At 42.6% G+C, this 27928-nt stretch overlaps 1 long non-coding RNA gene across 2 annotated transcripts, besides 3 other annotated features; it reads right to left on the bottom strand.

The window, feature by feature from the left end:
* Positions 1-237: 237 nt before the first annotated feature.
* Positions 238-27571, bottom strand: LOC105374906 (uncharacterized). 2 transcript variants are annotated; one of them, XR_926437.4, is made up of 4 exons: positions 27390-27571; positions 25770-25926; positions 2095-2233; positions 238-1861 (listed from the first exon to the last, which is right to left on the bottom strand). It is a non-coding gene; the product is annotated as an uncharacterized LOC105374906 (long non-coding RNA). The 2 variants fall into 2 exon arrangements; XR_926436.4 differs by having other exon boundaries at positions 238-2233.
* Positions 1650-1944: an enhancer, noted in NCBI's record as "tiled region #4297; HepG2 Activating DNase unmatched - State 4:PromP, and K562 Activating DNase matched - State 5:Enh". NCBI's record gives its function as "activates a minimal TATA promoter and a strong SV40 promoter by Sharpr-MPRA in HepG2 and K562 cells {active_cell/tissue: HepG2 | K562}" and the evidence as "EXISTENCE:reporter gene assay evidence [ECO:0000049][PMID:27701403]".
* Positions 3993-4157: a silencer, noted in NCBI's record as "fragment chr6:7696296-7696460 (GRCh37/hg19 assembly coordinates)". NCBI's record gives its function as "represses an EF-1alpha promoter that drives an FKBP-Casp9 reporter gene in an ReSE screen in phorbol 12-myristate 13-acetate-treated (for megakaryocytic differentiation) K562 erythroleukemia cells {active_cell/tissue: K562(+PMA)}" and the evidence as "EXISTENCE:reporter gene assay evidence [ECO:0000049][PMID:32094911]".
* Positions 14872-15442: an enhancer, noted in NCBI's record as "NANOG hESC enhancer chr6:7685011-7685581 (GRCh37/hg19 assembly coordinates)". NCBI's record gives its function as "activates a minimal SCP1, AML or CMV promoter by ChIP-STARR-seq in naive and primed H9 embryonic stem cells {active_cell/tissue: H9 hESC(naive and primed)}" and the evidence as "EXISTENCE:reporter gene assay evidence [ECO:0000049][PMID:30033119]".
* Positions 27572-27928: the final 357 nt, after the last annotated feature.

Genomic DNA, 27928 nt, shown 5'->3' with positions numbered 1-27928 from the left:
CAGGCTGATCTTGAACTCCTGACCTCAGGTGATCCACCAGCCTCAGCCTCCCAAAGTGCTGTGATTACAGGCGTGAGCCACTGTGCCCAGCCTGTTTCCACATTTTAAACTTACCTTTAAGTACTCAAATGAAGAGCTGTGTCTATGAATGGCATTTTCTATATGGCAAGCTTAAGCAATGGGTATAACTATGGGACACAAAAACTTATAATCCAAAAGACCACCAGGATGACTAAATAGTAGAAAGAAGAGCTTTATTGGTGATATCAGTTGCAAGCTGGAAGAGAAAGTCTCCAGCATGGACCAAAGATGCTCTCTCTTCAAACAGGGGAAGGACAGGTTGGGTCTCATTCCTCTGAGAGTCTGTATTACACAATAGAGTCATACGTATTCAGCAGGTTTGGGGTAGAAGCTATACATATTTATGAGGAGAGCCAAGCACAGGAGCAATGAATAAACAAACATGTAATATACATCCCATATTCACTTTGGGGCAAAAGGTGAACTATAGGACACAAAGACAGTGTGTGTGCAGCCTCTATAAGCTGGCTGAAACTGGCTTAAGGTCTGCAATTGCTCATCAGAAAAGAATGTTTGTAAGGCCTGTCCTCTGTCCAATCAGAATAGTAGTGGTCTGGATTGCAAATTGGAGTTAGGATAATTTGCCCAATAGCTCCTATTGTTAGGGAGTTTAGCAAGAGTGTGGATTTTCTTACAGGAATTTAGAAATTCGCAAGGCCAGCTGGGCCCTAAGCTCTCAATCCATAGGTAAAATTTTTTTTTCTTTTTTTTTTTTTTTGAGACGGAGTCTTGCTCCATCACACAGGCTGGAGTGCACTGGCATGATCTCAGCTCACTGCAACCTCCGCCTCCTAGGTACAAGCAATTCTCCTGCCTCAGCCTCCTGAGTAGCTGGGACTGCAGGTGTGTGCCTCCGTACCCAGCTAATTTTGTATTTTTAGTAGAGACGGGGTTTCACCATGTTGGCCAGGATTGTGTTGAACTCCTGACCTCGTGATCCACCCACCTCTGCCTCCCAAAGTGCTGGGATTACAGGCGTGAGCCACCTCACCTGGCCAACTTTTTGTTTCGTTAACCTTAAGGTCCTTCTTCATTGATAAAGTAATGTCTACTTTGGTCTCCCAGATCACAATCTCAATCTATTTTCCCAAAGAGAAAATTAATCAGGTAAAACAGTTGATTAATGATTAGCAAATAACAACAAAAAACACCTTAATACTTTAGTCCTTAGAATCCTTAAGTCTAATCATAATGCTTAAAAAAACAGCACTTCATATTGACGATAATGTAGTTCTTCAGGTAATAAAAAAAATTTAAAAAATAAAAGCACTTCATAGATAAGGGACAAATATTATTTTTTTTCATCTCCCTTTCTTATGTTCCCACAAATGGGAAAACTGGGGTTATCTTCAAGTTTACATGGTAATTTAAAAAATGAAAGCAAAAATCTAAAGGATGTTGATAAATATGCTAATATATTGCCTGCTGAAGTCCATGCCTGTTTTCCATTCGGTGAGGTCTAAGCTTATGGCTTCATTTTGTGAATATAAATTAGTGAAAAACAAAAACAAAGGCAGAACCAGTCGATATGGGCTTTCTGTCATCTTCAAATGGGGAACTGCAAACGTTTAAATCAATCCCCAGTCCTATTTTTGGTTTGAGGGAGACATATATCAACACAGATTTTTTTTTTTTTTTTACCTCTGAAAAGTAAGTCACTACTTACGTAAAACAAACACCCCAGAAAGGAAAGCTTCATCATCCTCCGCCTGCAGTGGGATTTGGGGAAGTGTGCTGACGCAACTCAGATTTTCAATTGCCAAACAACGACTGAGCTCATCTGTATGGAGTTGGTAAATTAGAAAAGGTAAACGACAAGAAATGTTGCGTAATGACACCATAAGAAAAAAAAAGTCATTTCTGAGTTTGCTGTTCTTTAAACTCTTTGAATTCTTGCTTCAGTGGCTCTGTTGAGTCACAGCTGTGATCCATGTTGGCATGAACCAAAAATAACATGACTAACTGCAAAGGTTACAGGGTTTTGGCCAGCTTTTTACGGCCACACAGCAGTACCTTTCTGTTGAGTGGAAATGTAACATTTAGCTTGTAAGGCAAATCTTTCTCAAGCAGGTTCTTATTCAAAGTTGTTTTAAGTCTTCCCAAGGCGTTGTTTCTGCTCTGCTGAAAGCTGGAGTCAGCAGACTGCTAAGGTCTGAAAGATACAGAATTTAAAGGACACACTTATCTTAGTGCAACTTCCTGTAAACATCCTATGCCTGACAAGACCACTAATGGAGAAAATGTAGCACGTTGCTTAAGTAACATAAAATGAGTACTACATCTGACTTCCATTAGCAAACATAAACGCTTTTCAGACTCCTTTCCCCTTCTTCCCCCTCCTTCCCCCAAAATGGCACTACGGACTGCTTCACTTTTTCCAATCCTACAGTGATATTTGGAAAGTTCCATTTGCTTCCGTGAAGAAAAATACAGAGAAGGAAAAAATACATAATAGCCATCTATCATCTTGTATGTGAGGCTGCTTGGTTATGGGATTCTCCCCTCCCCACCAGAAAACTCTGTGTGTTCTATGACTAATTTAGGTATCATGGTGATAACCCTATTTTTCTCTAAATAAATGACTTGTATATTCAAGTAATTTTTTGTTTTGTAATCTCTCAACGAGGGTTTGGTTTGCCCTAATCGATCTTTCATTCATTTTTGTCATTTGTTCATTTTGTCATTTTGTCACTTATTGGACAAATATTGATTAAATGCCTATCATCCTATAGGATGACAGTAGTCAGTGGCACCAGACACAGTGCTTGCCCTTGTGGCAGGGGATTTAGTAGGAAAGACTGACGTGAATCAAAGAATCACAAAATAAGTTTGATAAAACAATTGGGATAAACACTCCAATTTTGTGTTGACAAAACAATTGGGATAAAGGTTCCAATAAAGGGGAACAACACACTTTAATAGAACGTAAGGGGCCTGGCACAGTGGTTTATGCCTGTAATCCCAGCGCTGTGGGAGGCCGAGACTGGCGGATCACCTGGGGTCAGGATTTCAAGACCAGCCTTGCCAACATGGTGAAACCTCGTCTCTACTAAAAATATAAAATTAGCTGAGTGTGGTGGCACGCGCCTGTGATCCCAGCTACTCAGGAAGCTGAGGCAAGAGAATCGCTTGAACCTGGGAGGCAGAGGTTGCAGTGAGTCGAGAGCACACCATTGCACTCCAGCCTGGGTGACAGAGCAAGACCCCGTCTCAAAAAAAAAAAAAAAAAAAGAACATAAGGTTAAGAGGGTTGAACCTAACCACGTAACCAAGGAGGTTAAGAAAGGTATCTCCAAACAAGGAATATCTGAGCAGAGATTTAAAGGGTGAGACAGAATTAATTGGGAGTGAAGAGGGAGGAAGAGCCATCTAGGTGGAGGACTGCTCTTTTCTGATGGGGAGACCCTGCGCAGGAGAGCATGGGTGCATTTGTGGAACTAGAAGATCTGGGTAGTCCAAGGGACAAAGCAGAGGCCAGAGTGGGTACAGGGCCAGGAGTGAGGCTGGAGAGCTGGGTAGGACAGAGACTACCTAGGGACTGGGCGCCACTGATCAATTATTTTAAGCCTTTCTCTTAAGAAAAGAAGGAAGCCATTAAAGGTGTTTTAAGTAGTGGGTGACTACCAGATTTCAGTTTTATATTTGCCACACAAGCTAATGGTTGAGTCACGAAAAGAAAGAAAAAAGAAAAGAAAAACCCAACAAAGACCCAAAAATGAATTCTGGGCTTAATTATTCATTATTGGTAGGAATATCCCCAGCAACACATTACAAATAAACTTGGCACATGTGCGGTTCCTAGCAAGGACAGACAACGATTCTTCTTTTCATGGTCAGAGAACGTTGACCCAAACCGTGGTCACTTTGCCATTAGTCACGTCAGCTTTGGTCAATCCCAACCCACATGTTTCCAAAACACTGTGGAGGTGCTCTGGCAAGACAGATCCAAGGCCATCAATAGGCCAATGAACCCAAGCGGCCTCAGGTCTTGGGCGTCTCTGAATGGAACACCTGCAGGGAAATGCAAGCATGAGAGCAAGTCCACAGAGCCCAGGCTAGTGGGTGCTCAGGACGAAGGCATTCAGGTGCTTCGTTTTGTCTTGTGTGAAACAGCCTTCAGATGTTCTAAAGTGAGACAGTCGGCTCGCTATGGCAGACCTCTAAGTTCCACCCTTTCCAAGCGGACTTCCTCAGGAACCTCCACAATCAACCTGTGCAGGTCCCAGCATCCAGATTATTATCAACACCTGGGAAGTGTTTGCTTTGAGTGCCTTTCTCTCTCTTCCTTGCCCAACTCCTACCAGCTAAAGCCTCCAAGACACGCCCATAAGATGTCCTGCCATTGAGAAAAAAAATAATAATAAAAACTGTGAGTAGAGTTCTTACAAGGAAAAAGTGCTTTTTAAGATTTTTAAAAATATTTTAAGAATGAGAAGGGGGCCAGTTGTGCGTGGTTGCTCGTGCCTACAATTCCAGCACTTTGGAACGCTGGGATAGGAGGATTGCCTGAGCCCAAGAGTTCAAGACCAGCTTGTACAACATGGTGAAACCCTGTTTCTAATTAAAAACATACCTATATATATATGTATATATTGTCATCTGATTCTCTCTATATATACATATATACACAAATATATATATTTGTATGTATTGTCATCTATTCTATATAGATATATATTTATATTTATTATATAAATATATTTATATATAGTCATCTGACTATATATTATATATACTATATATATATATCTTCTCTATACAGAGTATATATACTACATATCTCTCTATATACCCTATATTATTATCAGATGACAATAGGTATACCAGGCTCTCCTTCTCAACCCCCATGCACAAAGCCAGGCCCTGCAGTAGAGCCCAATGCAGCTGTGAAATATTAGGAAAACACCCGAAACCTAGCAAGTGCTGAAAAGATAATGACTGGAATGCTCTCAGCGCAGTGCCTAGCACTTGGTATGGAGCTACCATCATTACCATCATTGTTGCTATTAAAAATTGCTCTCGGCTAGGTGCCGTCGCTCATGCCTATAATCCTAGCACTTTGGGATGCTGAGGCGGGAGGATCGCTTGAGCCCAGGAGTTCAAGACCAGCCTGGGCAACATGGCAAAACCCCGTCTCTACTAAAAATACAAAAAATTAGCCAGGCATGGTGGTGCTTACCTGTGGTCCCAGCTACTCAGGAAGTTGAGGTGGGAGGATTCCTTGAGCCCAGGAGGTTGAGGCTGAAGTGAGCCAAGATAGCGCCACTGTACTCCTGCGCTATACCCAATGGGTGCAGGAGGCACAGTGCTGAGGGCCCACGGTACTTGGAGGAGTCCAAAAAGTGTTTTTATTTCTTTCAAAATCAGAAGAAAAAAAGTAAATTTTTAGGCCAAAGGCTGTGTCTTCCTATGTCAGCCTGGGTGATGGAGTGAGACCCTGTCTCAAAGAAAAAAAAAAAATTGCTGTCTCTGAGTGCTGCCTTTGCACTGCCTGAAGGTAAATACCCTGATGAACCTGGAAGTTGGACTGAAGGAGCATGTAGCCCATGTCACCTGTCCCACAGCACAGAATGAAACCAGGTCCAGAATCCAGGCAGGAGTTTGCCTCCCAATAAATTACTATCATCAGGGGTGCATTAGGACTCTACTGGGCCGTTGGGCATTTCTGTCTTCCTAGACCTTTCCTCCACCAAAAAAAGGAAATAGTGTACATGTATAAATTATAATTTGCAGCCACATTGGCATAGACAAATATAATGAATCTGACATATGAAGACCAAGCCTTTGGCCTAAAAATTTACTTTTGTTCTGATTTTGAAAGAAAGAAAAACCCTTTTGTGGATTCCTCCAAGTACCATGGGCCCTCGGCACTGTGCCTCCTGTACCCAGTGTGCAAGCAGGCCCTGACTATGACGACGCCTTTGCCTCTCAGAAACATGCTTCCACATAGCGGTGTGCCGGTGACCCCGGGCACCCAGGACTCCACACACACCACTGTCACACTTAGTGTGAATGTCACACAGTGTGAACGTTGCTGTGGCACTTCACCGTTATTCCGAGAGCTCTAGGAGCACAGAAGCACCTTCTGTGCTAATTTTCCTCCTTATCACTTAGCAACATACCCAGCACGAAAGAGGAACTCAGTAAGTGTCCATTAAATGAGTATAATTCTGATGGGTGCAGTGGGAGGATCACTTGAGGTCAAGAGTTCAAGACCAGTCTGAGCAACAAAGCAAGACCCCCCCCTCCGTTTCTACAAAAAAAAAATTAAAAAATTAACTGGGCATGGTGGTGTGCACCTGTACTCTTAGCTACTCTGGAGGCTGACAAGGGAGGATGGCTTGAACCAAGGAGTTGGATGCTGCAGTGAACTATGATTGCCCCACTGCACTCTAGCCTAGGCAAATGAGCAAGGCCCTGTATCTTTAAAAAAAAAAAAAAAGTGTAATCCAATAAGCTGGATGTAGGAAGACTCGGAAACCTTGACTCAAGGTTCAGTACCATCCTGTGTAGACCTAACTCGGCAGACCTAACTAATGACCAATGGGTCTGGAGTGAGAACTCAGGCTGCAACACTCCACAGCTGGGCAGCTTTGGGCAAATTTCCCAGCCTCTCCAGGCCTCAGTTTCCCCACCTTTAAAAGGAAGGATCATGGAATTGTGGTAGGAGTCAAAGGAGATCATACTTGTGGAGAACTCAGTGCACAGCCTGACACGTCATAAGGAATAAGGAGTCACTACCTGGTAAATATCATTGCCGTTTAGCCGGAAGAGATATAAACATACCTGTGCTATTGTGTCGTGAAAATAGAGTGGGATAATGAAGACTGAAGGGCTTTCTTAATTGTGATGAATGACAGAGTATTAGGATGGATAACGCATTAGAAGACCTGAATCTGTATCCCAGCTCCAAAGCTGACCAGGTAGGAGACTTGAAACAAAGTACTTACCTTATCAAGCCTCATTTTATTCATCCACAAGATGGAGATAATGCCTGCCTCAGAATGTGGCTTTGAGGATAAAATATTGCGAATGTGAAAAAAGAGTGTTGTAAAGTCCGAGGTACTATTAAAAGTTACTGCACAGCTGTTGCTCTTGGTATCCAATCCATAAATCCATAGTTTATGCTTAACAATGTCAGTCATCAATCCCATCTTTTTCCTCCTCTTCTGTCAAACTCCTTCGGGTTTTAGCACTAAAGCCAAATTCCTTAATAAAACCTCACTCTTTAATGAGGTCTTCCTTGTGGTTTTTCATTTTCTTATAAGCCCTTAACTTTTGGCTAACCTGAGCCACTTACCCTATATACTTTATTATTATTATTATTATTGTTATTATTATTATTATTATTATTTTACTTTTTTTTCTCTCCTATATACATTTTGCTAGTCTCAAAATGATCCTGCTCCTGTGGGAAGTTTGAGGGCACTTGGGGTGAGACCCTCCTGAAATTTTCCAGTTTTCAAACCCACTAGCCCCAGCCTGTATTAAATGACCTAACCTAAAAGGCACCAACCATGCTACTCACGCCCCCTTCCCTGGAGTAGACAGGCATAGATTTCCTGCCCTTTTCTAAATCCATTGTTCTAGGTTTAGGAGGAAGTTGTAAAACAGACAAAAGCTCTGATAGATGCACCCTCAAGGGTGAGACCGAAAGGACTCCTCGCTGCAATAGACAGTTTCAAGCCCCCAAAAGAGTCATCTCTGACTTTGCTCTCAGACCTCAGACACTGCCGCCCCAGCACCATGAGTCACCCTCCCGGAGGAAAGGGTGGGGATGCAGAGAGTCAACAGAGAGCGGGCACCTGAGTCTGAGAAGCTTGGGAATGTGCTATCTCGTCTCGGGGAGGCGGCTCCCTGGCTCCTGTGGAGATCACCAGCACAGAGATTCGGGTTTGAAAGAGATCATTGTGGACTAGTTCTCATTAACGTCCTTGCCCAGTTCAGCTTTCAACGCCAGAAAAATGTGCCTGTGATTCAGCAAATACCTCCTTTGGGTTTTATGGCTGCAAATTTCCGTTGGAGCCACGTAGAAGTAAGAATTCTCCTCTTACCCATGTCATCTGCTTCTCCCCCTCCTGACATCTTTCCCTTCACACTCCACACCTGAGGACCATGGGAGGAGCTGGGGGTGGCACTGGCAACAGATGTCTCGCCCATGGAGGCATTTCCCCAATAGGCTGCAACCCAGAACGACGGAGCACCTTGGAGCAGGATCATGACCCAGGGCTGAAAATCCCCTTTTCACGGTGCCTTCAGTGGGGGCCATCTTAGCCTCAATGCTCTAAGAACTACGTGCTTACCAGGCCGTCATCTCACCACACGGAGGGGCCTGGCAGGCAGCCTTATCTGTGTTAGTGCATTCTGCTCATCCCAAGGTGGACACCTGACCCAGGCTGGCCAAATAGGAATGAGGAATCAGAAATCTGAGACAGCGGCCGGGCGTGGTGGCTCATGCCTGTAATCCCAGCACTTTGTGAGGCCGAGGCAGGCGGATCACCTGAGGTCAGGAGTTCGAGACCAGCCTGACCAATATGGTGAAACCCCGTCTCTACTAAACATACAAAATCTTAGCCAGGGGTAGTGCTGGGTGCCTGTAGTTCCAGCTACTCAGAGGCTGAGGCAGGAGGATCACTTGAACCTGGGAGACAGAGGTTGCGGTGAGCCGAGATCGTGCCATTGCACTCCAGCCTAGGCAAAAAGCGCGAAACTCCGTCTCAAAAAAAAAAAAAAATTCAAAGAAGGAAAAAAAGAATTCTGAGACAGCTAGTCAGTGGACAGAGGAAGGAGGGGAAGGGAGGAGAGGGAAGGGGGAAAAAGGAGCAGGGAGGGCAGGGCAGAGTGATGATCTGGGTTCCTGATGGTTCTCTGGTTCTTGACTCCCACCCCTCCCCCCATACCCGGCAGCTTCCCTGGCCTCAGGCTCTATGAGACACACCTGCATCTGTGTAATAAATTCCCACCCTTGTTTAAGCTAGTTCGAGTTGATTTCTGATACTTACAACTATTGTAGACATTGAGTTGCCTCCTGACATGTATTTTCCCTTTCTTGGCAACTACCTTGATTTCACTGTTATTCACACTTCTTAGTCCCATTCACATGCTTCAGGAGAAGGGGACTGATTTCAGAACAATACATTTACTCAGGCTTAAGTTAATCAGTATAACCTGATCCCCCAACTGCAGCTGAAGTTTCAGAAATGGGCCCATCTGCCATGGAAGCCAGTGGGATGTGGAGAAAGAGTTGATGAGGTCTTCTGGAAGCTTCCAGAATGACCGCTGCACTCACTGGGTCCTCATGAAGAAGCATGAAGACCAGAGAGTTACTGACAGCCATATATTAACCACAAAGAGATGACACCATGAAGGCTAAATGGAAAGGTGAAAGAGAAGCCTTGTCTTGGAAGATGTCATGAAGCTGCCAAATCAAACCAAATCCCAAAGTTCACCCTCCCTCAGACTATTCAGTTACAGGATCCAATAAATCCCTTTAACTAAACATCTTAACTAAAATCCCTGAGACACGACTCCAACGCACATGCTTCCAACTGCAACAATCCAACCCACCTAAGTACATTCTGGGAGAATGAAAAATAAAACAGGAAAAGAGTGCTTGACTGGAAAATTGGAGGCTTCCAAGATACTGGTCCTCCTCCACCACTAATTACCTATGGAACCTTAGGCGAGCCATGTACCTTCTTTGAGCCCAGTCACTCCTTTGCAGAATGAAACCGATTAGACTTCCAACACTAACATTCTATGACTTTATTTGTAGACCCTTAGTGCCAACTTGTATTGAGTCCCATAGGGGTAGTTTATAATTTCATCAGTGAATCTTGCCAAGATCTCAACTTGGAAACTAACAACAATAAACAACAGAAAAAAAAAGTTTTTTGCATTAAATCTCTCACTGTGAAGAGTGAGAAGTGTTAGAGTTGGAATTCTAACAACAAAAGGTGGAGAGAGGAAATGAGTGAATACAATGAAGAATCTTCTGGCTGAGCCCTATTCACAAAGGCCAGTCTTTTATTTTTGAGTTACAATAACCAAGGAATCCATGGTTTGGTGGCCCCGCTGGTCACACCCAGCTTGAGGGCATCCTTCACTTGAGCTATGTGGTTGGGGCTGACTCCGGTCCATCAGGCTTGTAAAAAGAATCCAAGGGTGTAATATTTAATTTAGGTTTTGAATTTGTTGATCTCTTAAAAGTTAGTATTTGTTATTGATATTATTTTTCAAGACATTTTTTGATTGTCAGAGATTGTTTTGTTTTTCCCTTTTGTGGCTTGGTTACTGTTAAGAAAATAAAACCTGCCCCAACCCTGAAACTCAGAACTGATACTCCAGGTTCTCTCACTGGAAAGAATAACAAAAACAAAAACCAGCATAACTGACTTCCACAACAAAGAGCATATACAAGATTGTGCGCACACACTCACACAAGTTCATGAAGGATCTTGGACCCAATTATGCAGGAATCAAGCTGGGACCCGACTTGCCATATGGATTTACTTTTACTAGAGGTTTCCAAATATTCAAGTTTACAGCAGGCTTCAGTACCATATTTTTCAAGAAGTCTCTTCTCCCCACAGCTTTAAATATAACCGAGCAAAAGTCAAGCCTGATCTCCAAAGAACAAAGCAGGAAAAGTTCATAGATCATCACTGGGTGAAGTACCAAGGATGTATCGTATGACAGGATCAGGGTGTCAGGCCAATTTTAAGACTGATGTCTACCCATACTACGAAAAATAATACTGGAGAAAAATAGATTTCTGGAGATCAGAAAGAAACAGTATGGTGTGCATTTCCCAAATGCATTCAGATTAGCTTTAAACAACAACAACAAAAAGGCTATTTTGTTGGCCAAAAATGTATTTCAAACAAAAAATATGTCAGAGTTCTCTCAACTCTCAGACTTCATTTGAGACCTAGAAGTAATCATAGTGCTTGACCAGTCTAGTCTCCTTATTGTTATTTGGTATATCTATGCTGCTTTACACACAAAACTAACCTGAAATATAAGTAAACCTATCAAGAGTGCAATATTCAATACTGTATGATTTTATCTGCACCAAGTTCAAAAACAGACATAATCTCTAGTGTTGGAAGTCAGAATACTGGTTCTGGAAGATTAAGGGGGTGAGGGAGGGGCTTCTGGTAATGTCCTATTTTTTTTTGTCTTTTTTGGTCTGGTTTTTGAGACAGGGTCTTATTCTGTCACCCAGGCTGGAGTGCAGTGGCGCAATTGCAGCTCACTGCAGCCTCGACCTCCCTGAGCTCAAGCGATCTTCCCATCTCAGCCTCCCGAGTAGCTGGGACCACACACATGTGTCACGATGCCCAGCTAATTTTTGTATTTTGTAGAGACAAGGTCTCTCTGTGTTGCCCAGGCTGGTCACAAACTCGTGGTCTCGAGTAATCCTCCCACCGCCATCTCCCAAAGTGCTGGGATTCCAGGAGTGAGCCACTGTGCCCAGCCTGTCTCTTGATCTGGGTGGCAGTTGGTTAAACACATGACAGTTGTAATAGTTCATCAAGCTTTACAGGTATGATCTGTGCACTTTTATATGTATGTTATACATCAATGTAGAAGTCTACTTCAGAAAAAAAGGAACAAAGATAATCAAATCTAAGTCAAAAAATGGAGAAATAACAACCTGTTTTGCTCTCAATCTAATACAATAATTTAGAAAGACATAAATTCTAAATTCACTTAATTTATGTACAATACAATTAACTTCTCTGATGTGTATTTCTGTGAATCTGACAAGTGCGTGCAGTTAGACCACCATAATCAAGACAGAACAGTTCCATCACCCCCCAAATTTCCTCACACTGCCCTTTTGTAATCAACCCAAGCCCCCATGTTGGACTCCTGGCAACCACTGATCTGTTCCTATAATTTTGTGTTTTCCAGGATGTCATGTAAACAGAATTGTACAAAATGTGTCTTTTAAGTTTGGCTTCTGTCACTTAGTATGAAATTTATCTATGTTGTTACATTAATCAGTAATTTGTTCCCTTTTAGTCCTGAGCAGTATTCCATTATTTGGACATACCACGGTTTGTTTACCCACTCAACAGTTGAAGATATTTGGGTTGTTCCCAGCTTTTGATGAATGTGAATAAATATGCTAGAAACATTCACGCACAATTTTTATATGAACAAAAGTTCCCAGTTCTCTTGGGTAAACACCTAGGAGTGGGATTGCTGCATTGTGTGGAAAATGTGTGTTTAACTTCACAAGATACTGCCAAAGTGTTTTCCAAAGTCGTTGAGCTGTTTGCGTTCCCACCAGCAATGAATGAGACTTCCAGTTGCTCTGCACCCTTGTGAACCTATAAGATCATCTTTTCTCTTTTTTAGTCATTCTAATTGCTGAAGGGGTCATTTTCACAGAAATCGTTTCCTGAAGATTCTGCTAAAGGTATGCATGGCAAGTTGAAAATTCAGGAAGAGATAAAATAATTCGGCTGGTTGATTGAAAGTATTACACTTCCTTGTAAATAATTAACTTATTTTCAAAAGTAAAGCTTTAATCTGATTTTCTTTAATAATTGATACTGAGTATTTAATATTCATTAGCCATTTGTATTTCTTCATATATGAATTCCCTTTCCCATTTTTCTATTATTTTAAAAACAAATTTAAAAGAACTTTTTGTACAGTTTATGGAAATCAGACTGTTTATTGCCATTATGTTGTAAATACATTTGTTTGTGCTTTTACTTTATGAAGATTCCTGCTACAACGAGTTTTTTTAAGTCTATAGTCAAATTTATGATTATTTTCCACTGTGGTTCCTGAGTTTGGTAGTATGGTAGAAAGCTGTTTTCCACTCAAAGATTATTCAAAAGTTCTCACCAATATTTCCTTTTTTTTTCTTAGGACTTCACTTTCTTCTGTGTAAACACTTTTCTATCTAGAATTAATTTGGGGTTCATAATTAATTAAAGTAAGAATATCAACCTAACGAGATTAAAATTAAGTAAGAAAAAAATTTGCAGGTAACAGCTGAAAAACATTTTTTAAGATTAACAAAGGGATAATTTAAATTTAGGTTTGTAAAATCACTTTCATATGATGCCACATTCCAACTTTATAGTCTTTGGAGATCTTTTACTTTTTTCAGTTTTAATTAAAACTGAACGTAATACAGACTTGCTGGGGAAATGTGATATCAATGCCTGCTCTTAACTTACATATTTGAATGTAAATGTAAATTTATTTTTAAAAAAAATTTTTAGAGACAGGATCTTATATGTTGCCCAGGCTGGTCTCAAACTCCTGGCCTCAAGGGATCCTCAAGGCTTGGCTTCACAACGTGCCACGATTACAGATGTAAGCCACTGCTCCTGGCCTTAAATGTAAATGTAAGTGGCATAGTTTGATCTTTAATAGCTATAACAGTATCTTAACACCATTTTTTTAATTAAGAAAAACAAATTCAAACAACAACCTGATTACAGTAAATATAAATTCCAATGCATAGGGTTATTCTATAAAACAGATAAAAATATTCCCATCACCAGTTGTTAAAATTCATATTTCTCTCCACTAACTTGACATGCCACATATATTATATACTAAGTTCCCATTTGTTCTTGGTTTATTTCTAGATTTTCTATGATTTTTCCTTAATCAGCCTATGACATGAATACTTTTACAATTTCAACACATTATACTTTTAAAATTGGAAGAGACTGTCATTTTTATATTTTATTGTGAAAATTAACAGATACAGAAAAAGTGCATATGATATGTAAGAACATTTAAACAAACAGTTATAAAGTCGGACACCTGGGTAAATACCACCCAGGTCAAGCAATAGAACTAAAATTTATTTTTTTAAAGTTGTCTCTCACAGACTTCCTATTTAAAATAAGAGCTATCATCTAGTTCTGATGGTTAGGCAACCCTATTTTTAGTTATTTAGTAAAAGTTTGAATGTAAATTGATAATGAAACTACCAAAGCTCCAGTGAATATAAAGTACTCGGTTAATTTTGTTACTTTTATAAGTAAATGGAGTTTAAACTTCCTTATCATTCCTCATTATACAAATACAAATAATTGTTTCTTATTACACAAAAAGATTTTTCTAAATAAATCCATCACGTAAAGAACATTTGAACTTGAGACGAAACCCTTTCCAGGTGTTCAGAAGCATTTGTTTATTTATAAATGGTGTAGGACTGTGCTGTCCAACAGGGCATCCACAGGTGGCTATTTAAACTTAAATTTCAATTAATTAAAATTAAACAAAGTTGAACATTTAGTTTCTCAGTCATACTAGCCACATTTCAAGTGCTCAAGAGCCACGTGTGGTGGTGGCCGCCATATTGGATGGCACAGATACAGTACATTTCCATCACGCAGAAAGTTCCATTGCATAGCGCTGGGTTAGCCCCTCCTTGGCTTCCACAAACCATTTGGGGTGTCTTAGAACACCCAAATATAAGATGTCTTGAAAACATACAAAATATGCAGTTTAAAAAAACATAGCAAAGAGAGATCAGAAATTATATGAGAGAGAACAAAGAAATCTGATATACAATTGAGCACTACATCTTGTTCTAACCTTGTTTAGCTAAAGCTAAACAAACAAACGTAATATTCAATGAATCACATAGCTCTCTTTAGGCAGAAGGAAGCATATACTTTTATTTGGTAAGACATACTGTTTCCTGGCAACACTATTTGGCAAGAAGATATTATGGTAGCCCTCTCTCAGTGTAAACCAAGGGTGGTTGGACCATTTAGGTGGCCTCTGTTCATCTCCAGCATGCCTTGAGGTTGGCTCATCAAAAAACACCAAAAGTCACTGGTAAGTGGTGTCTTTTTGTGAGGAGATGAAGAAGGGGATAATGTCACATAGCACATGGCAAACCTCATCCAACTGCATAATAGGTATCTCTGTCCTTATCCATCCCAAGGCTTCTTCTCCAGTGGCCCTTAACTAGGTTTCTTTTCCTCCCGTTTTTCCACTCGTCACACAGCTTCCACAAATCCTCTTTATTGGTCCAAGCAATTCAGCTCAGTGTGCTCCCCTGCAGACCTCACTCAGCAAAACAAAAGCTCAGCGGGGAGCCAGACGGCCACCAAATAACTCCACCAGCCTCCTTCACAGGAGCTCTCTGTTTATCTTACCATGTAAGCAATACTGAGCAAACATTTTAATTGTTTGTTGTTTGTTTTTTGAGACAGGGTCTCCCTCTGTCACCCAGGCTGGAGTGCAGTGGCACCACCATGGCTCACTGCAGCCTCAAACTCCCTAGGCTTAGGTGATCCTCCTACATCAGTCTCCCAGTAGCTGGAACTACAGGCACATGCCACCATGCCCAGCTAATTTTTCTATTTTTTGTAGAGATGGAGTTTTGTCATGTTGACCAGGCTGAACCATTTTGAAAAATGCCGTTGACTGCAATTTTGAAGACAATATGGAGAAAACACACACACATACTGAGATGACATTCAATTATAATTTAGTCAAAGCAATTCTTCAGAGAATTAAACTAACTTGTTCCAGATATTTTGCTTTCTGGTCAACTTACTAGCAGTCGAGGCAAAACAAAAAAACAAATAGACATATGGTGATATGTTTCTCCTCTGGAAGAGGGAAGCATCCACATGTTTATGGGAGGACATTCTCTTTTCTAGCTCTACAGCCAGTGATATCTAAGGCTCAGGGGAAACGACTTGCCCAATCACAAAGATCATTAACTTACAGACCTGGGATTCTACTATATGTCTGTCTAAACAATTCCTTTGCCTCCCTTCTTGACCACAAGCATGAGAGAGAGAAAGGAAAACAGAAGTTCATCATGGTGGCTTCCAAACCTAGCTCCTTCTCAGAGTCCAGTGAGGCCAATATTAGTCACTGTAATGAACTCCCCCAGAGTGACAGCCCTCTGTTGACACTGCACATTTCAGAGGAAGAAACATAAAAGATATGGTCCCATACTTTTCACCCTTCTTGACAGAAGGAAATTAATCAGCAGTCTCTTTGGACACTGAAATTATAATCAGAGAACTGGGAAAGACCCTAGAGCTCATGCCCTACAGCTTCCTGCCCCTTTCAGAGGTCACTGGGGTCAGAGATGTTAGGTGATTGACTAGCAAGTTAGGGGTAGAATCAGAACAAGAACCGAAGTTGGCCTGCAGTTCCAGTTATTTAAATCAGAAGACACAAACCATTGGCCCATACTAACTATATTTTTATTAGTTTAATTGCTTGCTAAAGTTTTTAAATTGGGAAATTTCATTCCCAGATATCTGCATTTCTTTTATTTTTAAATTTATTTTTTTTAAGAGATGGGCTCTCATTCTATCACCCAGGCTGCAGTGCAGTGGCACGAACATAGCTCCCTCCAGCCTCAAACTCCTGGGCTCAAGTGATTCTCCTATCTCAGCCTAGTTGAGATTACAGGCATGAGCCACTGTGTCTGGCTTTTTCTTTTTTAAATTGAAAGATTCGCCAACATGGATAATGGCTGCCTGCCTTAAGTGAGCTATGAGCTCTCCGGTTCACTACAGTTGCCAAACGTTTCCTCCTTATTCCACCTGCTGGCTTCATCCTTCCATGCCCCACCTGGCCCCTGCAGCCCTATGGGTTTACAGGCTCTGGTTGAGATAACTAGTACATGCTCACCCTTATCAGTCAGCCAGTAAGCTTTCCATGCTCTGGAACCGCGTCTGATTTATTTATTTTATTTATTTATTTAAATGTATTTACTTTTTTTTGAGACGGAGTTTCGCTCTTGTAGCCCAGGCTGGAGTGCAATGGTGTGATCTCAGCTCACTGCAACCTCTGCTTCCCAGGTTCAAGCGATTCTCCTGCCTCCAGCCTGTAGCTGAAACTACAGGCATGCACCACCACACCCAGATAATTTTTTGTATTTTTAGCAGAGACAGAGTTTCACCATTTGGACAGGCTGGTCTTGAACTCCTGACCTCAGGTGATCCGCCTGCCTTGGCCTCCCAAAGTGCTGTGATTACAGATGTGAGCCACCGTGCCTGGCCAGATTTATTTTTGTAACTTCAGTAATGAACAATGCCATATGATCCACAATTAATGCACATTCATTTTTGAATGAATGTTGAATGAATGATGGATTGACAATTAGTTAAGGAAGGCAATGGGAAAAGGCACAGTGTTCGGCTCACAGTTCTGCCCTCTATCCTGAGCTGCTAACATGATGGGTGACAGCAGCATCCACACAGACCATCTAGAAGTCTGCCCACCTCATTGGTCCCTCATCACCTCAGCTCCAGCCACCTTCACCTCCACTTCACTCCCCGCCAACTCTACCCACACCCAATGTCACACACAAGACTTTGAGATTCCTTTGAAGCATTAAATAGCCAACATCTCCTCTCTCTGACCAAAGTGCTCATCTTGTGAGCCCTGTCACCCCCTTGCTTCCATCATGCCCAGTCTGTAAACCTGCAGGGACAGACCCTTAGTTCTCCATCACCCTCTTGTCTCCCATCAACACTCTTGACTACACATCCTTCTTTGGCTAGCCCAGCTGCCATGCACCATGTCACCCAACCTCAAGATGTTTTTCAGACTCAAAAGGAGTACTGTGGTCTGATAATTTCAGAGCACTTTTCACAAACATTTTTAGGGTCCAAAATGTGTAATTTAGCAACTTTAAACAAATACCCTACTTTGAGGAGGTTTTTGCTCTGCCTTTTATCTCTTCGGTTTTGTTTTCTTGTGCACCATAACTTTTTCTTTCTTGAGCATAAGGTTTGCATTGTGGTATATGTGTGTGTGTGCATGAGACCCACCAGATAAAGCACTATGTTAACCTTACTGAAAACTGTGGGTACATCATTCCTAGGGCAGCTGTTTAGAAGACTGTAACTACCGTACACTGCGCTTTCCTGCCTACTGCAGAAGCATTACATTCAAGAATGCTGAAAACTTAGAAAGTCAGCTTTAGAGGCAAAGATATCAACCACAAGGGAATAACATATAATTCTACTATGTAGTGAATATTGTATTTCCAAATAAGTAAAATGCCACAAGTGGGAAGGAGTGACAGTCGAAAAAAAATCCAAATTTTATTAAAATAGCAGTTGCAAATAAAGCTGAATTAACTTTGACAGTCATACTTGCATGAAAACATCTGTTCTTACATGTGTGTCGAGATATCCAAACATCTAAAACTGAAGTATGAATGATCCATTGTTTAATCGGCAAAAGGGCAAGCTCCTTTGTAATGTAAATGAAAATACGGTATAAAAAAGGCAGGAAAAAAGAAATCTTTGGATAAAAACTCAAACATATACACAGAGACTTTGCCAAAGATCAACAAGAGAACAAAAATCCTGAGGAAGAAAGCGGCAAGATGAGGAAAGGCCATTCAGTGGGTCAATTGCCCAAAAACAAAAATAGAAAAGAAGGAGGGATCAGTTAAACAGATGGAGTTGGCAGGGAGCTCTGCATCCAGGAGTGAACAGGAGGACGGTAACCTTTCATAGTCTCCCTACCAGAGCCACTCCCCAGTACTATTCAGTGTGCTGCAGCGTAAGTCTCACTATCCAGGACTGTTGCCCTACGTGAAGTTTGCTTGCTATATGAAATTTCTGGGGCTGCCATGTCAAAAAGGCATACAAAATGCTAGGAGTTGCTTAAAACAAACAAACAAAGAACAAATCAGGCAGGAGGCAGGTTAAAAAGAAATAAAGAAACCAGGAGATGAAATTCCTTGTAGCATTATCTTTCTGGTCTAATAGTAATGAACGTTTCATTATCGCCATTCTAATAAATGGCAAAGAATATATGTTTCGACTCCATTTGCTTCACCATCTAGGCTAGCCAAAAAATGAAAAAGCAATTAAGTTAACAATTAAAGCCAGAGATAATCCTGGCTCTCCCATTTCCAACACTGCCTTATGATGTGATATGTCCTGCTGGAGCCAAAAAAACAAAAACAAAAAACAAAAAAACAAAATTAAAAAAAGGATCATCAACGGCCACTCCCTTCAGAGCCATTTCACCCCGACGTGTCCCAAACCGCTGCTGGATGGTCAAAATCCCAGCAATGGGCAATCAGCCAGGAGGAGAGCCGAATTTCCCCCCAACAGGCTGCATCAATAACAGGCTTGGAAAACCACTTCCAGGGGAGACCCTAGCAAAACGAGGAAACACCTTCAGAAGCACAGGGTCTGCGTAGCAGCTCCGTCCCATCACCGCCTTTGTCAGAGACGTTCAAAACAGAGTGACTCCATCTTGAAAGGGGGCTGGGTAAAATAAGGTTGAGACCTGCTGGGCTGCATTCCCAGGCATACTTAGTCACGGGATGAGATAGGTCAGCAGGACTGGTATCGCAAGATACAGGTCATAAAGACCCTGCTGATAAAACAGCGGTGAAGAAGCAGGCCAAAACCCACTGAAACCAAGATGGTGATAAAAGTGACCTCTGGTCATCTTCACTGCTCATTATATGCTAATTATAATGCATTCGCATGCTAAAAGACACTCTCACCAGCACCCTCACAGTTTACAAATGCCATGGCAACATCCAGAAGTTACCCTATATGGTCTAAAAAGGGGAAGAACCATCAGTTCCGAGACTTGCCTGCTCCTTTCCCAGAAAACTCATAAAACATATAATCAAGAAATAACCATAAACGTACTCAGTCAATCAGCCCTTAGTGCTGTTCTGTGTATGAAATAGCCATTCTTTTGTCTCTTTACTTCTCTAATAAACTTGCTTTTGCTTTATTCTATAGACTCACCCCGAATTCTTTCTAGCGTGACATTCAAGAACCCCTTCTTGGGGTCTGGGTCTGGACCCCTTTCCAGTAACACATTCATCACCATTTGCTATTTTTACAGCATGACCCTGTGGCTGAACCAGGTCAAGAGTAAGGAAGCTGTCCTATCCCCAGCCATCCCCAAGTTCTGTCTAACTGAATGGATATGCCCCCATCCCCCTCCGTCTGTTGTCTGATTGATCTGTCATGTAACATCCTCTCCTGCCCTTCCTGGGAAACGTTTACAGCAATTTAGTACAGTCTCTGTGTTCTGCATTTTTCAAGACCCTCTGCAAATTGCCAACACTTACCATTTCCATCTTCCCTTCCCTTTTTCTCCACACATGCCCTGTAATTCAGCTCGAGAGTAACGCTTGCTCTTTCCCGAACACACACTGAGCTTCCCTCCGTGGAGAAGTTCTGCTCCTGCTCTGGCCATAGGTGAATTCACTACCCTTTGAATGTCATTCGACTTTCCTTTTTTTTAGCTCACAGCCCCTCCCCCAGTTCTAAGAACATGACCATCCCAATACGAAGGACACAGTGCTGCCCTGGAGGAGTTCTGGAACCTTCCAGTACTCACTTCATGTCCTGTCTTCCACCCTTGCTGAGGGTAGGCTCCTTGAGGACAAGAGCGGATGGCAGCCTTCATCCTCACGTACCTCAGGCAGATGATGGTGTGTCTTGCACATAGGCGGTACTTAATAAATATTTGTTTAAATGTTTATGGTTGAACTGGATTGAATTGTAAAGTAGGATTTATGTGGTTTAAGCTTTGGGTAACCTAAGCTAATTTCACAGAGTCATAGAATGCTTGTACCAGAGACAATATAAAGACCATCTAATTGACACTCCTCATTGTGCGGATGAGGAGACTGAGTCCTGGGGAGATTACTGACTTGCCCAAGGACGCACAATTAGAGGCAAAAACCTGAGACTAAGAACAAGTTCCCTAGGACTTAATTCTGACAATCCTATTGCGTATTAAGGCACAACCTTGATATGTTAATTTTAGAATATCTATTGAGGAATTGATTTCTCAGCAATATATGGAGAGCCTCCTGGGTCCCAGGCACTGCGCTCCAGGGGTGGGAACCCAGAAGAACCCCTGGATATCTCCTGCCTTACAAACATGTGAATTGAAACAGTTGGCTGGGCACGGTGGCTCACGCCTGTAATCCCAGCACTTTAGGAGGCCGAGGCAGGCAGATCACCTGAGGTCAGGAGTTCGGGGCCAGCCTGGCCAACATGGTGAAACCACATCTCTACTAAAAATATAAAAATTAGCTGGGCGTGCTGGCATGAGCCTGTAGTCCCAGGTACTCGGGAGGCTGAAACAGGAGAATTGCTTGAGCCTGGGAGGTGGAGGCTGCAGTGAGCTGAGATTACACCACTGCACTCCAGCTCGGGAAACAGAGCAAGACTCTGTCTCAAAAAAAAAAAAGAAAAAAAAAATTGAAACAGTTATCTGTAGGAAAGCAGAAAGTAGACTGTCATTCTCCCAAGATCCCGCACTGCAAGGCTGCATGGGACCTTAGAGATCCTCATTCCCTGATTCAGTGTTACTCAGTGTTTATGGTTTAACTAACCATATTTCTTCTGTATAGGCAAATTTCATTTTTATTCCCCTAATTGTTCTTTCCTGTGCCTTCTGAAACACAAGTCAATGCCTACATTGCCGTCTGCTTTTACTTTTAACTTCTTTAACACTGGCCCAAGTGACAGCTGCATACTCGATATCTTTTGTCTTTAATGTGGATGATAAATAGGACTTGAATTTCTAACATTATGAGGTTTATGATGGGCCATTTCAATTTAGAAGATATACACTATCTTCCCAGCTTCTAAAACAAGGAAAGAGAAGGAGTAGCAAGAATGATTTGAACTCCTAATCTAGCCTCCCCCACATCCCCTCATTTTTAATCTTCTCAGATTTATTGTCTTCCAACATAATAAGGAAAAGAATGGAACGCTTCCTAAAATGTATCCTAGACTGGACATCTGCAAGTTGACCTCTATTATGTGTAATTCTTCACTGTTTCTTACTTTTGTTTCATTTGGACTCTTTCAACAGACATGAGCGCTTTTTGACACACCACAAGGACAGCTACATGAGCAGCGTTAGTTCTTCACAGGACATTGTTTCTCCTACGTACCTCATTAGGAGGTATGACCTCACACAATACAAATCACCTTCAGAAAGCTGACATTTTATTCTTTGTGCAACCTTACTTGTTCAAATATCCAACCATATCCCAAGTATGGAACATCACACAGAGCGTCAGGAGTCCAGCCAAACTTGGATGGAGAGGGGTAGGTCAGAGACGGTGTCAGTCATATTTTAAATTTTCATTTCTTCCACTGGCTTGTGTCCTAAATGCTATTTAATATTTGTTAGCACCAATTTCCTTTGTCTCTGGGAAGGTACTGAATGTGTACCTAACGTGAACTGAATTCCTTATCAGAGGTGAAATAAGAGTTAGGAGGAAGTGAGAATAATCCTCTCCATAGATTTGAAAGTGAACAGTCCTAAATTCATTACTGGACTATGGGTTCTCCCATCGAAAAGTGTTTGCCTGCTGTGCGCTCAAGCAAAGAACCCAGAAGTGGGGGGCAGGGGGGACCCCAGAAAGGACTTATAGAAAATAGGAGAAGATGGAAGATGGCTGACGACAAAGAAATAACAAATTCCGTCATCAATTGGATTTGTGTTTCTCAAAGAACATTTTGTATGTGGATGCACAATTTTTAATATTTTTAGATGCAAATTAGTAAATATTGGCTGTTTTCCTTTGCTCGAAAATATGTCTCTATTTCGATTCCCCAGAAAAACAGAACCAATAGAATGTAGGAAAATGATAGGTAGATAGGTGGATGGATAGATAGATAGGTAGGTAGGTAGATAGTTAGATAGATAGATGATATTTAGATAGATAGATAGATAGATAGATAGATAGATAGATAGATAGATAGATAATGGATAGATAACTTTAAGGAATTGACTCACGCTGCTGCGGGGTCTAGCAAGTCTGAAGCCTGCAGGGAAGGCCAGCAGGCTGGAGACCCAGAAAGGAAATAACAGTGCAGCTTGAGTCTGAAGACAGCCTAGAGACAGAAATCCTTCTTCCTCGGGGAACCTCAGTCTTTTCTCCTAAGGACTTCAACTCATAGGATGAGGCCCACCCATGTCATGGACAGTCACCTGCTTTAATCATACTTTACTGATTTAAATGTTAATCTATTTATGAAACACCTTCACAACAACATCTAGACTGCTGTTTGACCAACTCTCTGGGTACCGTGGCCTAGCCAAGCTGACACATGAAATTAACCATCACAATATCACAATGCTCAATCTGAGGTTCTCTACAAAAAATTAGAACAGAATTATCTTTTGTGTAATATCTTATAATTCAAAGCATTTTACATTATTGTTTTGATCTTTGAAACATTATGGCCTGAAAATCTGCAATTAGAACCTCTTGGAAATTGAAAAAAATAAATAAATAAAGCACCTTTTCCAAAAGTTTAGGTTCTTTGTCTGGAACTTGTAATACAATTGCCACAGTTAATGTAACAAATGGTTTTATTTCACCTGCTTAATCCATCATGTGCCTGAAGATGATAAGACTTGTGGTTCTCTTTCAGATACACCTAATCATTGTTTGTAACCCTATGTCTAAGGGGAAATACATTCTAAACCATGAATCAAAACACCAGTAATATCCTGCCTGTGCTGGCCTCCCTGTAAATGAGTTGTGACTGGGGAGACTCAAGACAAACAGACATAGGAAGGGTGATGATGATGCGCTTGGTCACCTGTAACTTCTTTGCTCTCTATATTTGCATAATTATGAAAAGCAACCACTCTACATTTTCATTAGCTAATATTCTGTAATCCAAACAATCCTGGAACCCAAGTATTCATCCCAGGGCACAAAAGAAAAGCATTCTAGAAAGAGAATCTTGGGGCCAGGTGCAGTGGCTCACGCCTGTAATCCCAGCACTTTGGGAGGCCGAGATGGGCGGATCACTTCAGATCAGGAGTTCGAGACCAGCCTGGCCAACATGGTGAAACCCCGTCTCTACTAAAAATACAAAAATTAGCTAGGTGTGGTGGCACGCACTTGTAATCCCAGCTACGTGGGAGGCTGAGGCAAGAGGATCGCTTGAACCCAGGAGGTGGAGGTTTCAGTGAGCCAAGATCATGCCACCACACTCCAGCCTGGGCAACAGAGCAAGACTCTGTCTCAATTAAAAAAGAAAAGAAAAGAAAAAAGAGAACCTTCAACCATGTGTTTTCATATAAAGGTTCTTTGTTAAGCTAGGGCCACCCGTCTAGATAGAAGTAGAGGAGTAGTTTAAAATGGAAGAATAGAAGCACTCACTTGTGATGTGAAAAATTCAAGTTGTTTTTTGTCTTTGAATACCTAAAAGCATGGAAATAAGGACAGAAGATCTAAATGGTGTAATGGAAAAGGAAGCCTACACATTTCAACTATGCACCAGCACCGTTACTGTTTTACTGGGATGGAGCCGTAAAGAAAAGCTTCCAAACTGATAATAGCGGCAGATACAATGCTATGTATTTATCAGATCTCATTTTATTTTCCTTTTCCCAGCCCACATTCCCCAGCCTGCTAGCAGTTAGGGACGGGTGACTGGGTGCTACTTGTGAGGACCTGTTGGAAGTTACAGAAGCCACACTCAGGCCCAGCGGTGACCCACCCCACCCCGACCGGCAAGATTGTCCACAATCTGCGATCTCATTTTCTTGGCAGTCTCAAAGGCCACACATTTAAGTTTGCAATGTCACGAGATAAAAGGACCCTGGGGCCCTGAGACACTGCTTGATAAAGAGTCACCAAAGAAAAACATCTGCCCAGCATGACATGAGGAAGACAAACCCTTTATCACGAAGCCACTGAAATAGGTGGTTTATTTATTAGACAGTATAACCTACCCTGTCCTGATAGAATATATCACCTAATTCTTGCTATCTGACTGTAGAAAGGAATCAACATTTTTAAAAGGACTGTATTCTGAAGTAAATTTGTCATGTGGAACATTATTCAGAGAACAGCAAATACCGTAACAGGTCACGTAAACTTCACAGCAGCATCGCCACGCATACAGAAGCCTCCTTCATTCAGCTGTATCTTGCACTGGCCAAACGTTCAGTATGCCATTCAGTTCCTCCACGGCCCAGCCATTTCCTCCCTCTCTAGCGTCTTCTTGCTCTCTCTGCTTCTCATTCTGTTTCTAGAAATGCCAAGCCACCTGTGGTTCCCTGCATGAGCCCCACCTTTCATAACTCTGCTCGTTCTATTCCTCCTGTGTGGACCTTTTTCCTCAGCCATCCTTAACTGGTCCATCCATCAAGATTCAACCAGAGGGCCGGGGGCAGTGGCTCATGCCTGTAATCCCAGCACTTTGGGAGGCTAAAATGGGTGGATCACCTGAAGTCAGGAGTTCGAGACCAGCCTGGCCAACATGGTGAAACCCTGTCTCTACTAAAAATACAAAAAGTAGCCAGGCATGGTGGCAGGTGCCTGTAATCCCAGCTATTTGGGGGACTGAGGCAGGAGAATCACTTGAACCTGGGAGGCAGAGGTTGCAGCGAGCTGAGATCGCACCATTGCACTCCAGCCTGGGTGACAAGAGCGAGACTCTGTCTCAAAAAAAAAAAAAAAGAGATTCAACCAGAGAAGTAGAATCATTCAATGTGATCTCAAACAAAGGATTTATTACAGGATTTGACTCCCCACCCCCACCCATGCAATCGTAGGAGCTGGTTCAACAGTTTACACACATCTGTTGTTTCTGCATCTGGCTCTGGGCCTGAAGTCAGCAGGGCAGGAAGTTAGGAAGGAAAGAGGCTTGAAGTGGGGAGAGCCAGAGCAAACCAGAACTCACCTGGGTAAGCTGGGAGCCCGGAAGGGTGAAGCAGAGCCCATGCTGGTCACTTACAAGGGAAGCTGGCACCTTCCATCACGGAGCTAGACACACACCTGGCCTAGGAGTCAGAGACGTCGAAGGCGCTGCCTCACCTCAACAAGGGAAGTCTGTGGATCTGCAAAAACAAGCGTGAGCTACCCGGCTCCACATTGACACAAGGAACATCTACACAGCTGCTGCCTTCCTTCTACCCTCCAGACCTCGTGCACATTTCTCATGGGGTCAGTCTGAGCCCAGAGCCACACAGGGAAGGGAATTCTGGGAAATGCGGTTCCAGCTTAGTTCATTGGATAAGTCCAAGGTCACCACCTTGGCTAACTTCTCCTGGCTCCTTTAAGACTCATCTCAGACCGTACCCTCCTGGGGACATTATCTTCAGCTCCAAGATTATGCTCATTGTCCTTCCTCTGTGCTGTCTTAGCATTCTGTACACACCATCATCACAGCATTTAACGCCTAATATTTAAATTGCTTATTTGTATGTCTATCTCTTCAGCTGGACTATAAGGTTCTTGAGGGCAGGGCTATGTCATATTCATTTTTCTGTCCCCAGCAGTGTCTGCACATAGTAGGTCTTTAATAAACATGGAGCGGAACCGTGGGCATGCATGCCCTCAAGGATTTACTGCTACCACTCCACAAATAAGGATCATATGTAAAAACCTAGGTGAAGAGTGGAAGGAAAATTCCCATATCCTCTCTCAAGCATACCCTAGAGCATATCAGTAATGCACTCAAGAGGGTTACAATGGGGAACAGCCACCCTGACTGTGGGCTGAGGATGGGCGAGTTTGGAATAGAAACTACTATTGAACATTTCTCAAATGCCAGGCATTAAATATTTCACATGCTTGGACTCATTTTGATTCTCACAAGAACTGCATAAGGTGGGTATTATTACTCCCAAGAAGGATACAGAGCTATTAAGTAATCTGCCCACAGCTGGTCCAAATCACAGCTGGATTTCAAAACCCGCGCTCATTCTGCTGCCCTGCGTTTCCGCCCCAGCCCGGGCTGGGGACTGCAGGTGGCTGGAGTGACACTGACTCCGAGGGGCCTTACACTAGAAGCGAAGGAAGTGGCGCCATCAGCTGGTGTTTTTCAAAGGCCAGAGGTGCTTATAAACAACCCTCCCTTCACGGCCCCACCCTCCTCCCACAGGGGCAGTCAGCAGGGTGGGGCCAGGCCGGCGTCCAAAACACCACTCCCCACCCCTGCACACCCCGAGGCTACTCAGGCTTCAGGCGGGCATGCCCTCCCTTCCAGCTTCTTCCTCCCTCCCACGGCTTTTCCTAACCCTGGCGTTCCCTGCTGTTCCACTGCTGAAGGCTGCCCGGGATAATCACGCTTTCACTAGAGCCCTCCAGGAATGCCAGGGAGTGGACCCTGGAGACCCTAAATACCCCTGAGACTGCCTGACACTCTTCCCAAGCTCTTCTACGGTGACTACGTGGTCCTTCCAATTGATCGGCTTTCTGAATAAGCCCGATCCCTTTGGGAAGACCATGGTGAGCAGTGTGCTGGGGTGGCTCTTGGACTCAGACAAGCTTGAGTGCAAGTTCTTGCCACGCTACTTACTGTGTGATCCCAAGTAAGCTGCTTAACCGTTCTGGGATACAAAGACAACACCCCCTCCTTGGGTGGTTGTTAGGGTACGTGCAACGGAGGCATGGAAAACCCTTAGCACAGATCCTGGCCCGCCGTGGCTGCTGTCACTGAGGTCGTGTTGTGGCCGCGGCTGCTAAGAGCACTGTCAGCATGGGAGAGAGTGGGCTCAGCCCGGTTATGATTCTCCTGCTGGATCACGTGGCACACAGGAGACTCAACAATGCAGCTACAATACAACCACTCCCATTTCTCAATTTGAAAAACAAGCCCTGCTTCTTCTTTTGATCAAAAGTGATTCGTTCATTCACTTGAACAGCTACTGTGTGCCAACCACCGGGACCCGCACTGGAGGTGGGGAAATATCTAAAGATATTGAAGACATCTTTCCTGGCCTCAAGGAGCTTTTGGTCTAAGTTTTCCTTTAAAGAAAGGCATTTGGGCTGTGTTAATAAGGGGTTAACAGCAGCTCTCTCTGTCTTTATCCATTTGCAGCTCAGCAGCGGTAAATT

This window comes from Homo sapiens, chromosome 6 (assembly GCF_000001405.40).
Source record: "Homo sapiens chromosome 6, GRCh38.p14 Primary Assembly".
Lineage (NCBI taxonomy): Eukaryota > Metazoa > Chordata > Mammalia > Primates > Hominidae > Homo > Homo sapiens.
Note: the sequence above shows the minus strand (reverse complement) of the source record. Positions and strands in the feature narration are given on the sequence as shown.